This window comes from Homo sapiens, chromosome 11 (assembly GCF_000001405.40).
Source record: "Homo sapiens chromosome 11, GRCh38.p14 Primary Assembly".
Taxonomy (NCBI): Eukaryota; Metazoa; Chordata; class Mammalia; order Primates; family Hominidae; genus Homo; species Homo sapiens.
The window spans coordinates 5806843-5822714 of record NC_000011.10 but is presented as its reverse complement, the minus strand read 5'-3'; the positions used below and the strand labels follow the sequence as shown (position 1 = coordinate 5822714).

Below are 15872 nucleotides of genomic sequence, written 5' to 3'. Positions count from 1 at the left end.
GAGTTGAAACTAATAGCTCATAAAAATAACTAAAATTTATTGAATGGTTAGTATACATCAGAGATTGTGCTACAAGCTTTTTTTGCATCAGAGCATTTAATTAGAAGAAACATCTCTGTGATACATTTTCTTTTTCACATTTGGAAGAAAATATGGAAGTCAAAATTTAGAGAGATTATGTAGCCTGTCCAACTCTAGTGGCTAGAAATTAAAAGACAGAGGACTTAACACTTGAGATGAATTGAATCTGAAACTGATGTTATATTTCCCCCAATTCTTTCCTACAAACTTTTTATTTCCTTCACACTGCATTCATTTTTTCTCTCTCCCCTTTCTTTTATATGTATTTCTTCTCACACATCCCTGGCTACAGTCCAGATTCTGAGTATCTTGAAACCAGGAACCGTATCATCTGCCTCCCTCTCAATAAATCTAAGATATGACTAATAATATTGCTTAAATTAGTGTTTCAAAAAATGAATTGATGAGTGAATGAATAAATAAATTATAATATATACTAATAGCTTAATGGTTTGCCTGCTTGGTCAATAACATGACAATTATATTTTCAGATCCATTTTATAATTTATTTATTTATTTTATTTTTACTTTAGATTCAGAGTGTACATGTGTAGGTTTGTTACAAGGTTATATTACATGATGCTGAAGTTTGGGCTTCTGTAGATTTTTTCACCCAGATAGTGAATGTAGTATCCAACAGAAAGCTTTTCAGTGTTTATTCTTCCCGCTCCTTTCGAAGAACCTGGAGTCTATTGTTCCCATTTAGATCCATTTTAAATGGAGACCCTAAACTGATGACTTGGGAAAAACAGAACCCTTGGACATTCTTCTGTGAATTATAGGGTATTTTAACACATATTTTGCTGACAATTAAAATGGGGAGATTTCATAGAACATATAAATCTAGCTTGTCTTTAAAAAATACTGAAAAATAGTGAACACTGGACCCACGTTTCTCTATGTCTCTACAGCCTCCCCACTTACACGCAACGCAGGGATTGTCAGCAGGTCTGCTGTCCTTATTTTACTACCTTTCTGGTCTCACAAACATGTGAGTCTATAAACGCTTAGGAAAAGCATCAACTCTTTAAGTAATGGGTATATTACTTCTTTATTTTGCATTCTCTGCTTTGGCAGATCCTTGCCCCCACTCCCAACACACACAAATTCAAGAACTTGCAGAGACTTCAGAAAATTGACATATTATGGTGACTTACAAATTTATGTCTTTATTTTGATTTTTTATTTCTATTTTTATTTTAGGTACACGTGCAAGTTTGTTACATGGGTAAATTACATGTCATGATTTTAATACCATTTTATTCACATCTTTTATGAAATTTTGTCTCCATTATTTTCTCACCACCTGAAACAATATGTCTATTCTATGTTTCATTTGTCATAGGTAAAACTAACCTTGTCTCCAAGTAAAAATTTAATTACACCTTCCTGAATCTGCTTGGTCTTGACTCCATAAACAATTGGGTTCATGGTAGGAGGCAGTAGCAGATAAAGGTTGGCCACGATGATGTGTATGTGGTTTGGGATATTGTGTCCTACAAAACGATGAGTGAAAAAAGTGAAAAAAGCAGCAACATAGGTGATCACAATGGAACACATGTGAGATGTGCAGGTGCTGAAGGCTTTGTGACGAGCATCTGCTGATGACAGGCTCATAACAGCCTGCAAAATCATAGTGTAAGATACAGAGATACAGCAGATATCAAACACACCAATCAGGAGAGCAACCATCAGACCATAAATAGCATTGACCTTGAAATTGCCACAGGATACCTTGGCCACAGACATATGGTCACAGTAGGTGTGGGGGATGAAGTTCCCCCGGCAATAGGGCAGGCGCTTGGTGAGGAGAGTGAATGGGATGATGAGCATCACATTCCTCAAGAAGGTGGCAAGACCAGCCTTGGCGATGACAGGGTTGGTAAGGATGGTGGCATAGCGTAAGGGGTAGCAGATGGCCACATAGCGGTCCAGGGCCATGAGCATGAGCACCCCAGACTCCATCCCTGTCAGCATATGGACAAAAAACATCTGGGCCAGGCAGGCGTTAAAGTCAATCTCCTTGAGGTTGAACCAGAATATGCACAGCATATTAGGTACCATGGTGGTGCACAAGGTGACATCAGTGAAGGAGAGCAGGGCCAGGAAGTAGTACATGGGCCGGTGCAGGGCCTCCTCATGGCTGATGAGGCAGATGAGCCCACAGTTCCCCACGACAGCAATGATGTACATAAAGCAGAATGGCAGGGAGATCCAGATGTGTGTGGCTTCCAGCCCAGGAACGCCATTCAAGATAAAGAATCCTGGGGTCAGGCTGGAGCTGTTGTCCCCAGACATGATGGCTGACAGGAGGAGAGCATTTTATACTCTTTAGCAGCCATTGCTTTCTGCCTAGGAGAGGGAGAGGGAGAGTTAGAGACGAGATAAGAGGTACTGGTTTGGACAAAGTGAACCTCAAGTGCCATGTACATTCACCTTACATTGATAACCAGAAATTCTTTCTTCCAACTATAGCAAGAAAGACTTTGAACTACAGTGTCCAAAGTCACTAAGCAGTACAGTCTTACCACTACTCAATGTGCCATTGCAAACTTTGATTAACTATCCTCACTTACCACACCTCTCCCCAGCACAACTCTTATACTGTACTACATTCTGATAACAAATTGTGAGTTAGGCTGTAACTGTCTTCCTCCTTCAATAAGTCCATTTCTATTCTGTGCTCTCAGAATCTTCCCATTCTAATTGTACCTGAGTCTTGTCACTGAAATCACATGGGTATAATTACAGCATCACCCTAATATGACCAGTTCTTATCAGTAGCTTAACTTTCCGTTTTTAACAATATCTCAAATATTAGCACTTTTCCCCTGCCTTGATAACAAAAAATGCTTGTATTCTATATATAAGATGTCAGTAATGTCCCACATAACTTACTCAAGATAATACATAGTAGATAATAAAATATATGTGAATGAGTGAATACATGAGTTAAGAATTTGGTATGTCTGATACTCAAACTCTATCTGATGTCAAAATCATGTTTTTCTATACCATGGAATTTGAAAGGAAGTTCTTGACAAGAAACAGGAAGATATTTACAATTCTAAATCATTAACAAGTTTTACGTAAGTTTAGTAGTGATTTTGCTAAAGATCTAAATTCAATTAGGTATAAAATTTGGCTTCTCTATCTTTTCACAAGTTCCCTATCCATTCTCAATACTAAATTTACACTCAAAAAGCCCTTGAAGTTCTGGGATTATTGACTGTTTGTACTGCTTTAATTTAGTATTATTTTTGTTATAACTGAAAGGAAGTCAATTAAAAAATAGCACCACATCTTTGGATTGCTATTTCTTGATGGAGCAGTAGAAAGAATTGAATAGTATTTGAAGGAATTTATAGCTTCAGGGGTGTTTGAAGAAAGTTGAAGTGTCCTAATTATTCAATTTTTTTTTTATTCGGAATAAAACCCTAATCCTTAAGTTCTGTAGTAGACCCCATGGAGCAAAGCCAATGCCAAACATTCCTCACTATCTAGCAGAAATAGATATACATTTGCAGTGTGATGGCATGGATTACATGGTTGTGAATCCACAAGGCTTAGAGTTCTGTGACCGAAACATTCTAGAAATCACTGCAGTTGTCATGTCCACTGGCTAGAGTACATGGAAATTTCCAATGATGGAGGGAAATGTAAAGCAACCACATGTTTCAGAAGCTCGTGATCTCTGAATACTACCTGACTGGATCTCATATAAATAATCCCTTCTTATAAGGAAGTTCTCACAGTACCTCTCCAGAATGTCACTGTTTCAAGAAACCATCATTTTATGTTCTTAGACAAGACAAACTTAAAGATTAAAATTTCTAGTGTCTACCATCTTTTATGTGTACACCACATTGAAATGAATGGAATGAAAAGAAAATAAGATTAAGTCCAGTGGAAGCCACCCAGAAAGAAAAAGAGCCATTACCTCTTAAGAAGTGAAAGAGAAAGTAAAAAACATTGCCCCTTACTGCTATTACTTTTTAAAACTGTTTCAGTGTATCAGGCTGTTGCATTCTTTGCCAAAAATGTCTTTACCCTTTCCTAAAATAGGGATTTATGAAAATTGACCAATCTCACCTCAGTGCTAGGCACAATCAAATCTCTGTGCATGGCTGAGAATCTTTAGGAGTTGTTTGAAATCTAGGATGACATCTTCTTACATAAAATTTTTTGTTTCCCTGGGGAATTTCCAACAAGATGCCCCAGGCTGATTTAGTCTCCACAATTAGGTGTCTCCGTGGGTTCTGTTTAAAAGAGAGTGAACTTTGGGCCTGCTGGTAATAGATGTATATTTAGCAGCTTTTGAGTAGAGAAAGTTTAATGCCTTTTCCCAAGTGGGAAATATGGTCACCAAGTCTGGTCATGAAAAACATAATTTTTTAAAACTTTTTTTTTCCTCTTACAACAAGAGAAGTATGTCTTTAATATAGAAAATTTGGAAACTATGGAAAAGTATAATAAAGAGTTGAAAATCACTTGTAATTCTAAAACAGAGGAATAAGCCCTCTAAAAAGTTTTCTGTGCTTAATTCAATCACTTTATAATTATTATGTATAATATTCCGATATTTCAAAAAAGTAAATTGCAGATGATATGGAGTTGTATACATTGTTTCTATCTCCAGCTAGTATTATTTTGTGCACATTTCATCATGACATTGTATATGCTTTGAATTAAAAAGTTTAATAGCTAGACCTTCTTTCCATCCAATAGCTGTACCAAATTTAATCATGTGTTTTATTACTCTTGAATATTTGTTTCCAAATTTTTCTATCAAATATAATTCCTCAATGAATATCTTAATCCACTCTGTATGCATTTCTGATTTTTCTTCTCTACCGATAGATAGAAATGTTATTGAAGTTTATGGGCTCAAAAGGCATGCACAATTTTAATTGTGTTGATAAACGTTAGAAAAAATCATTTCAATAAAATCTGTGGTGATGTTCATTTCCATGCAAAGCGACTGAACCATGCCCCCAAGAATACTATTATATACCTTCTTTCCCAAGCTTCACTAGTGCAAATACTGTCTCACTTGTATTTTAAATTGAATTAAAATTAACTTCACTAGTAGTAAGTATGTCACTTTTTTCAAGCGTTCTTGGTCAACTTTTTTTGTATATTTATTAGTCATCCACCTCCTTGTCCATCTTCATTGGAGGTGTTAGTGTTTATTCATTGCATGATAAGCACTTTCAAAATGAAAATTATCAACCCATTGTCTGTTGTATTTGCAAACTTTTTTTTCAAGGTAGTATTGGTTTTAAATTTTATATTATAGTGGAAAGTAATTGTATATTTTGACCTTTCTTCCTTTTTACTAAAAAACCCCACAAAACACAATTTTTCTATACTTAAACTCTTTTGTATGAAATGATATGAAGTAGAAAATAGTCATAACATTCCCATAAACTCACATTTCACCTTAATCCACTTCTGAAGTAAATGCTATTAAAACCTAAAGTCTGATGTATGTATTTCCAGAAATTTCTTTTATAAGTATTTAAAAAATTAATGTATTCCTTTTGTTGTTTTGTTTAGCTTTCAGCATTAGCAATATTACATACAGGTGTATAAAGATTCCTGCGACTCCTTGGAAACAAAACTTTCATTTAAATGAAAAATTTAGTTGTGTTTATAAAACAATAGAATACACACAAAATTATTTTGTCAAAATTTAAATTAATGCAGCTATTACAAAAATACATATATGAGTTTCAGTGTAAACTCTTCTCTTTTAGATCTAAAAATGTAGAAAAATGAGAATTGGTATGAAACATTGGTTGGATTTAGATCAGGAGGTCAGGCGCAGTGGCTCACACCTATAATCCCAGCACTTTGGGGGGCCCAAGAGTTTGAGACCTGCCTGGACAATATGGTGAAACCCGTCTCCACTAAAAATACAAAGATTAGCCAGGCGTGGTAGTGCAAGCCTGTAGTCCCAGCAACTCGGGAGGCTGAGATGGGAGGGTCGCTTGAGCCTGGGAGGCAGAGGTTGCAGTGAGCTGAGATAACTCTACTGCACTCCAGCCTGGGTGACAGAGTGAGACCGTGTCTCTCAAAAAAAGAAGATTTAGATCAGGCTTCCTAAATTGGAGACCATACATGGCCTCCGCACTGTTTACACTCAACTGCATGAAGACCTCCTATGCAGTTCTTTAAAAAGAAAGTTCATAGGGTGCCCTATAATTTATCACTTTGCTCATAAATATTTGTATTGTGTTTGGTTTAGTTATTGACATGCCCGATTCATTCTTTTTGTAGTGTAGTAAAATATACATAACAAAGTTTGCCATCTTAATCATGTTCAGGTATATACAGTTCAGTGGCATTAAATACATTCATCATGTTTTGCAGCCATCACCACTCTCCATCTCCAGAACTCTTTTCATCCTGTCAAACTGAAACTCTACACCCATTAAACAATAACTCTCCATTTGCCCTCCCACCAGCCTCTGGCAACCACTATTCTTTCTGCTGTCTAATGATTTTGACCTTTCTAGGTACTTTATATAAATGGAATCATATGATATTTGTCTTTTTGTGACAGGCATATTTTATTTAGCATAATGTCCTAAGTTTCATCTATGTGGTAGCAGATGTCAGAATGTTCTTCCTTTTTAAGTCTGAGTAATATTGCATTATATGTACAGGTATATACACACATACATATATATATACATATATAATGTATATATACACACGTATATACACACATGTATATACACACATACACATACATACTACATTTTGCTTATCCATTATTCATTCATCCATTGATGGGCAATTAGATTGTTCTTATATCTTGGTTACTGTGAATAATGCTGCAATGAACGTGTGACTGCAGACACCTCTTCAACATACTGATTTCAATTCTCCTGGGGATCTCACGCAATAGTGAGATTGCTGAATCATATGCTATTTTTAGTTTTAATTTTTTGAGGAACTACCATACTGTTTTCCACCGCAGCTGTAGCATTTTACATTTTTGCCAAAAGGGCACAAGTGTCCAATTTCTCTACATTCTCACTGACATTTATTATTTTCTGTTTATTTTTATAGTAGCCATCCTAATTGGTGTAAGGTGGTTTTTTATTGTAGTTTTAATTTGCAGTTCCCTAATGATTACTGATGTCCAGTGTCTTTTATGTGTTTATTATCCATTTGTATATCTTCTTTGGAGAAATGTCTATTCTAATCCTTTGCCCATTTCTTATTAAGCTGTTTGTTGTTGTTGTTGAGGTTTAGGAGCTCTATATATATTTTGGATATTAATACCTATCAGATATATAATTTATAAATATTTTCTTCTGGTCTGTGGGTTGCCTTTTTACTTTGTTTATAGAATCTTTTGATGCACAATTTAAAAACAAATTTCATAAAGTCTAATTTATCTGTTTTTTTCTTTTGTTTCCTGTGCCTGTGCCTTTAGTGTCATTTCCAAGAAATCATTACCAAATCCAATGTCATAAAATTTTTTCTCTTTGTTTTCTTCCAAGAGTTTCATAATTTTAGGTTTTATTTTTACGTCTTTGATCCATTTTGAGTTAATATTTGGACATGCTGTTATGTAACAGTCCAACTTCATTTCTGTACATGTAGATACCCAGTTTTCTCAGCACTATTTATTGTAAAGAATGTCCTTTCAACATTGAATGATATTGACACTCTTGTCAAAAGTAACTTTACCACATATGTGAGGGTTCACTCTGGGCTCTCTGTTCTACTTCATTGGTCTGCAGTTCTGACTTTGTGCTAGTGCCACACTGTTTTGGTTTACTGTCACTTTGTCATAAGTTTTGAAATCAGAAATGTGAGTCCTCCAGCTTTTCTCTTTGTTCAAGATTGCTTTGGCTATGTAGGGTCCCTTGAGATTTCATATGAATTGTAGAATGGATTTTTCTATTTCTGCAAAATTAATTATTGGGATTTTGATAGGGATTTTACTAAATCTGTAGATTACTTTGGGTTGTACTGACATCCTAACAATACTATCGTCCACCCCTTGAACATGGCATGTATTTCCATTTATTAATGTCTTCTTTAATTTATTTCGGCAATATTTTACAGTTTTAATTATATAAGTTTCTTGCTTTTGCATTAATAACAAACAATCTGAAAGGAAATTAGGAAAATAATTTAATTTACAATGGAATTAAAAATAAAATATAATTTTATTATGTATTTTGTATTTTCTTATGTATTTTATTATTTTATGTGCTATTGTGAATTGTTTTTTCTAAATTTCTTTTCAGATTGTTGTTAACGTATAAAAAGGCAACTGATTTTTGCATTCTGACTTCGTATCTTGTTACCTTGCTCATTTATTATTTTAACAAGTTTTGTGGAATCTTTAGGGTTTTCTACATAGTAGATCATTTCAACGGTGAACAAAGATAATTTTACTTCTTCTTTTTCAATTGAGAGGCCTTTTATTTCTTGTCCTTGCCTAATTGCTCTGGCTAGGACTTTCAGTACTATGTTGAATAGAAGTGGTGAAAGAGGATACCTATGTCTTGTCTAATTTCAGAGGAAAAGCTTTCAACTTTTCACCACTGAGTATGATGTTAGCTGTGGGCTTCTGATACTTGTGTTGAGGTACACTTCTTTAATATCTAACTTGATAAAAGTTTTCATCATGAAAGGAGGTTGAATTGTGTCAAATGCTTTTTCTGCATTTATTGAAATGATCATATATTTTTGTCATTCATTCTGTTAATGAGGTGTGTTGCATTTATTGATTTGTGTGTGTTGAAACATCCTTGTATTCCGGTGATAAAGCCCAAGTGATCATGGTGAATGATCCTTTTACTGTGCTGTTGATTCGGTTCACTAGAATTTGTTGAGGATTTTTGCATCTGTTTAACAGGATATTGGCCTATTGTTTTCTTTTTTGTTGTCCTTGTCTGGCGGATGTCAATGTAATGCTGGCTTATTAAAATGAGTTTGGAAGTATTCCCTTCTCTTTCACTTTTTGGAAGAATTTGAAAATACTTGGTATTAATTCCCCTTTAAATGTTCGGTAGAATTCAGCAGTGAAGCCTCCATGTCCTGGATTTTTTTTATTTTTTTTGATGGGAGATTTTTTATTACTGATTCAATTGTTTTACTTATCTTTGGTTTGTTTAGATATTCTATTTCTTTATGATTTAGTATTGGTAAGTTGTAAGTGCAGTTCAGGTCCAATGTTTCCTTATTGACTTTCTGTAAGTTGTAAGTGCCAAGGAATTTATCCATTTCTTGTAAGTTATCCAGTTTGTTGGCATATAATTGTTTGTAGTAGTCTCTTATGACCCTTTGGATTTCTTTGGATTCAGTTGTAATGCCTCTTTTTTCATTTCTAATTTTATTTCATTTGAATCTTTTTACTTTTTTTTTATAATTTCTATTTCATTTATTTCTGATCTGATCTTTATCATTACCTGCCTTCTAATTACATGGGTTAAGCTTTTTCTAGTTCCTTGAAATATAACATTAGATTATTTATTTGAGATCTTTATTATTTTTTTGATGTAGGTGTTTCTTGCTATGAACTTTCCTTGTAGAACTGCTTTCATAGCATCTCATGAGATTTCCTTTGTTGTGCTTACATCTCCATTAGTACCAATATATTATTTAGTTTCCCCTTTTATTTAATTTTTGATCCATTGGTTTTTCAGGAGTGTAATTTTCATGTATTTGTAAATTTTTCAAACTTCCTCTTATTATTGGCTTCTAGTTTTATATAATTGTGATAGAAAAATATATTTGATATGATTTCAGTCTTTAAATTTTTATTTAAAATTTAAATTTTTTAAGACTTGTTTTCCAGCCTAAAATATAACTGATTTGGTCTGAAGTATAGTTCAAGTCCAGTGTTTCCTTGTTGATTATCTATCTGGGTGATCTTTTCATTGTTGAAAATGCGGTGTTGACATCCCCTACTATTATTTTATTGCAGTCTATCTCTCCCTTCAGCTCTATTAATATTTTCTTTATATATTTAGGTGCTGTGATATTACAGACATATATATTTACAATGGTTAATGTGCTTGATTAATTGCCCTCTGTATCAATATATAATTACCTTTACACTATTTTAAATTTTTGTTTTTCCTCATTTCTTTTTTTTTTTTTTTTTTGAGATGGAGTCTCGCTCTGTCACACAGGCTGGAGTGCAGTGGCAGGATCTCGGCTCACTGCAAGCTCCGCCTCCTGGGTTCACGCCATTCTCCTGCCTCAGCCTCCTGAGTAGCTGGGACTATAGGCGCCCGCCACCATGCCCAGCTAATTTTTTGTATTTTTTAGTAGATACAGGGTTTCACCGTGTTAGCCAGGATGGTCTAGATCTCCTGACCTCGTGATCCGCCTGCCTCGGCCTCCCAAAGTGCTGGGATTACAGGTGTGAGCCACCTTGCCCGACCCTCCTCATTTCTTCTCAAAGTAAAAAACAGGATACGTGTGCAGAATGTGCAGGTTTGTCACATAGGTATACGTGTGCCATGGTGGTTTGCTGTACCTATTGACCCATCCTTTAAGTTCCCTCCCCTCAACCCCCAACCCCCAACAGGCCTTGGTGTGTGTTGTTTCCCTCTCTATGTCCATGTGTTCTCATTGTTCAATTCCCACTTATGAGTGAGAACATGCAGTGTTTGATTTTCTGTTCCTGCCTTAACAGTTTTTGATTTAAATGCTATTTTAGCCAATATACATATAGCTACTTCTGAACTCTTTTGCCTTATATTTGCCCAAAATATCTTTTTCCATTCCTTTGCTTTCAACCTGTGTGTGTGTCTTTAGAGGTGAAGTGATGCCCTCACAGGCAGCAAATAGTTGGGTCTTCTATTTTTAATTCATTCAGCAAATCTATGTCTTCTGATTGAAGAATTTAATCATTTTGCTTTCAAGGTAATTATTGATAAGTAAGGACTTACTACAGCCATTTTGTTGTTTTCTTGTTGTTTTTTACATTCTTTCTTCCCTTCTTTTTCTCTTGTTGTCTTCTTTTGTGATAGATAATTTTCTCTAATAGTGTGCTTTCGTTCTTTACTTTCTATATTTTGTGCATCTACTATAGGTTTTTGCTTTGTGGTTACCTCAAGTCTTACATAAAACATTCTATATTTATAAAAGGCTATTTTAGGCTGATAACAACTTCAATTGCATAAAGAAGTTCCATACTTCTACTCAACTCTCCCTGATATTTTATGTTTCTGATGTCACATTTACTTCTTTTTATATTGTATATCCCTTAACAAACTATTGTAGCTGTCTATTTTTTAAATTAATTTTGTCTTTTAACATTCATATTAATGATATAGGTGATTTATATACCACCATAACAGTATTATTCAGAGTTTCACTATGTACTTACTTTTGCCAGTGACTTTTATTCTTTCATACGTTTTCATGTCACTAATCAGCATCCTGTTTTTTCAGCTTTAGCATTTCTTGTAAGGCAGGTCTGGTAGTAATACACTCTCTTAGCTTTTGAATTTCATTTTTATATTAAATCTTACATATCAAGAATAAAACAGGTGGCCAAAGTTTAAATTATATTTATATATCATATTTTATAAATATTTTAATATATTTTGTGTTTAGCCACTTTTGCCAATAGTTTTTTCAAAAATTATTTTCTCAACTTTCTGTATTACAATAAAAAAATTTTTATCTCCAAGTAGAAAGCTTTTATCATTCATCTTCTTAAACCTTTTCATTGTCTCTCTTGTTCTTACCATAAACCCAAAAATGACTCTATGAAATTACCTGACATCATAGGCATAGGGCTCTAGGTTTAGTATGAAGCAAAACAACAATAACAAAACAACAAAAAGGTAACATATTAGGTTAAAAAAAAAGATTGTGTACTATAAACTCAGATAGAACTGGCCCCTGATTTGAGCCCACTTAATCTTGTTTTCAGTCCCTTCATGTGTGGCACATTCATTCCTCAAAACCTCCATGCCGGCCATTTCCTCTTCCTTAAACAGTTCTTACCTCCCATCCCCCTTCCACAATGTTAACACCAGCTTATCTTCTGTACCACCTTGAGCATTTGTTCCTTCTGAAAGTCTTTTCTGGTATTTGTAATTTGTGACATTACATCTCATACTTATAACACATTCCTTTGCGTTTTTGCTTCATTTGACTTTTCCCCTACCTTATTTATTTATCTTTCCATCATAATTCCATTTTAAAATGTTTTGGGATTTTTGAGGGCCTCTTAATACAACCTTGTACTTTCCTCCTCAGTTCAGAGCTGAGACACACAGGAGACAAGGAGTTGACAGAGAATGTCAACAATTTTATGATATACATCTGGGAAAATGAGGCTTTAGATTTTTCAGGCAAAATACCTTGTTCTGCCTTGCCTCTGATTTAGACTAGCTTGCTCATCCAGTCCCTAGCATAGACACATACAAGTCTCTTTCGGAAAGCTTGGCCACTGACTTTGCTAATGTGGACAGACCAGAATGCGTGGCCTATTCAGGCAGGGAGATTGACTTCTGTGAAGCGTCAAGGCTCAGCATATAGCTCACCCATAGCTCACTGATATCTGATGCTTCTCCCACTCAGAGGAATGAGTTATGACAAGAAGAATGTTGTTCTAAATGAAGTCCTTATACTTGAAGTAATAAGTGTAGAATAATTAATTATACCGTTTTCCCAAATCTCTCTTCCTTTCCTTAAACTTACTGCTATTTGTTCTTTCTCATAATACAGTATCTTCTTGTACTAAATTCAGATTGTGATAGCCTCTCCTGCATGACTACTGGGTAAATAACAAAAGGAAGGCAGAAATAAAGATGTTCTTTGAAATCAATGAGAACAAAGACACAATGTGCCAGAATCTCTGGGACACATTTAAATTTCTTGTCTTTAATTAGCCCACAGAATAGTGAAACTATCCTTGGGCAATGGTAATCATTTTTCAGCTTTTTTATAGAACTGCTTTGAAAATAGCTTTACTTTTTTTTTTTTTTTGAAAGACAATGTAAGATACAATAATTTTCTCTGAGTTCCTCTTCAAAGATTTAGCCGCTAACTTCCTGGTCTTTTGTTCTCAAACTCAACTTTCCTTTTCCTTAGTTACTGTAAAACAGCCTACCGCTTCCCATCAGCTCTAATCAATAACTCACATCTGTTCCCGTAGTTACCTGGACTCATTGTTCCCCGGAAACTGCACATCTCACATGCCTCACCACTGTACCCCGTGTTCCCCTTCCCTTCCATATTTAGAAAGATATTTGCAAGTAGCCAATCTGGTCAGCTCAGCCCATGGGGGAGTGACACAGCCCATGGGGGACCCCAGCCCATGGGGGAGTGACACAGAAGTAGAAACTGTCAGAGATAAAAGCTCCCTGCTCTCCTTCCTTCCCTGTGCTCTTGTGATCTTGATTGATGCGAGTGGCACCCTTCTACAGAAGTAAATTGCCTTGCTAAGAGAACTTTTGCCTAAGTGTTGGTTTCACTTTGCGGCACTGAGCATTTATTCCTAGAGCATTTTTACACCCAACAACTCTGGGGGCTCATCTGGGATCCCCACTCTCCTTCAGAAAGGGATCTTCAGTCATCCTACCCAGGGGAGACGCATTCCAATGCCCCGTTGCGGTAGTCTCAGGGAGGGGAGATCGGGACCCACCCATTGTGATGAATAAACTCGGACTCTCAGCAACGCGAGGAGGAGAGGCTTGCAATACCGCGGTGACCAGGTAAACTCTGTGCACAGATCAAGGTAGGAAACGTCACAGGGGCGACAAAGTACTTCCTTGGTGGTTGGGGGCCGTGGGTCGGGGCATTCTGGAGGTTGAAAGTGCGTGAATGGTAGCAAGCGCTCCTGCTGCGCAGAATGAATGAGTCCAATCTGTGGTTCTGTGGTCACCTCATATGGGGGTCCCATCAGGGGTTTATGCTGACCCGCCATCAAGGCTAAGAGGAACCTGAAATATTCCCACGAGGGAAGCGGCCAGAGTGGACAAAGCGAAAGGATGCAAAGAGCCTCCAGCAGGTGGGGCTAAAGGATAGGCGAATTGAGCCTCAGTTACGATTCCAGTGAAGGATAGGCAAGAGGTCCCCTAACACAAGGGGTTGAGCCACAAGGAATCCCTCGCCAAATAGGCGAGAAATCCCTAATATGATGGGGTTGAGCCACAGCAATGCCCCGTTAGGCAAGAAATTCCTAATATGAGAGATTGCGCCTAGCCAAGACCCAATATGGGAAATATTACAAGCAAAAATGGTAAGAATAGTAACAAAGATATATACCACCTGATAGTCCCCTAAGTCTCATGAAAAAGGATATGAATAGTAACAAAGATATACCACCTGATAGTCCCCTAAGTCTCATGCTAAAATGTTGGGAAGATAATGAAAGAACTAAACATAAGAAAAAGCAACAAATGATAAAATATTGCTTTTCTATTTGGACTCAAAGACCTAACCTCAATCCGTCAATCTTCTGGCCAAAGTTTGGGTCAACTGAGGATATACTATGTCAACTTTCAGTTTAACATGTAAATAATAAAAGCCCAGTTTCTCAAGAAGAACTGGACTATGCTCTTTTTTGGAGGCAAAGACCTGTCCTCCCTTTCCCTTATGCACCTGCCCCTACTGTGGAGACAGTGAAGGAGGGTTCTCAGAGGATCCTAGCAAAGAAAACAGCACATAGGATTCCCTGGACCATCCTTTACCTAATGCCCCTAGTCCCCCATCTAATACCCCCAACCCTTCCCCTCAGGCCCAGCCTAAGTCCTCCTCTGTGAAAGGAATCCAAGCTCCTCATTCGCCAGGTGGCTTTTGACAGGCTAGCGACATCAAGGATCTGCCTCAACATGTTGTCGTTGTCGTGCAGCCTCTAGTGCGCCCCCACAGCAGAAAAAGCCCATGCTCTGCCGCAGCCTATGCCTAAGCAGACTACATTATGGGACATATGCCTTACTTTTGCCAGGGTCAAGTAATACAGGCTTCAGATGCGGCTCCAAGCAGCTAGGCATCCCCGCGGCTAAGTTTCCTGAACAAGTAGTAGATAATCTTTCAGCTGATATATCCGCTAGCATTTATTATGGGTCAGGCCAGTATTAAAAGTGAAAATATCCACCAGAAAAGACTTTGATTATTTAAAGTCACTTATATTAAAATGTACCACCAGAAAAGTATTACATGTGTATAAGTACGAGTTTAAAAGTATAGTTTAACATTAATGACTGATAATTCGCTTAATCTAGCAAGTTTCTTAATGAGATATCCAAAGCTAAAAAGAAAGCACACGTGTTTAGATTTAACTGATTACAAACGTTCGGCCAAACTTAGAAGAAACCCTCTTCAGGAATGATTAAGGGAAAAAGAACGCAACAGGTGTTCAGTAATTAATAAAGAAGTTCCTAGAGAAATTTATAAGCTGTCTGCACTTAGTCAAGCTTTAAATTACCTGCAGGACCAGGAAAGAACCATCTGTACTAATTCTAAATATGCCTTTACAGTGGCTAATACATTTAGCAAATTTCAGACTGGATTAATAGTAAAAGTCAAAGCCTTGTTCATGAGGAGTTAATCACCCAAGTATCTATTGTCCATGTCCCCAAGCACCAGAAAAGCCTGTCTTTTAAAATAACCTAGCAAATCAGATAAGCCGAACAGGCTGCTGTTTCTCCTGTAGGCACTAAAGGGAACTCAGAAAAACATTACCCATTAAAGACCCCAAGCGATGTATAACACAGTCAAAGTTTATATGTGTTTAGGAATTTATACCCTTAGCCAAACAAGTCTAGAGACTTGGTTGCCATAGATGAAAT

General features: G+C 36.3%; 1 protein-coding gene across 1 annotated transcript; it reads right to left on the bottom strand.

The window, feature by feature from the left end:
* Positions 1-1231: 1231 nt before the first annotated feature.
* Positions 1232-13791, bottom strand: OR52N2 (olfactory receptor family 52 subfamily N member 2). Its single transcript, NM_001005174.3, has 2 exons — positions 13661-13791; positions 1232-2433 (listed from the first exon to the last, which is right to left on the bottom strand). Exon 2 carries the CDS (start codon positions 2377-2379, stop codon positions 1414-1416), a length of 966 nt encoding a protein of 321 aa, NP_001005174.1. The 5' UTR covers positions 2380-2433; positions 13661-13791; the 3' UTR covers positions 1232-1413.
* Between the last annotated feature and the right edge of the window lie 2081 nt (positions 13792-15872).

Coding starts and splice junctions, on each gene's coding strand:
- OR52N2 (NM_001005174.3), bottom strand. CDS start 2,379: ATGTCTGGGGACAACAGCTCCAGCCTGACCCCAGGATTCTTTATCTTG.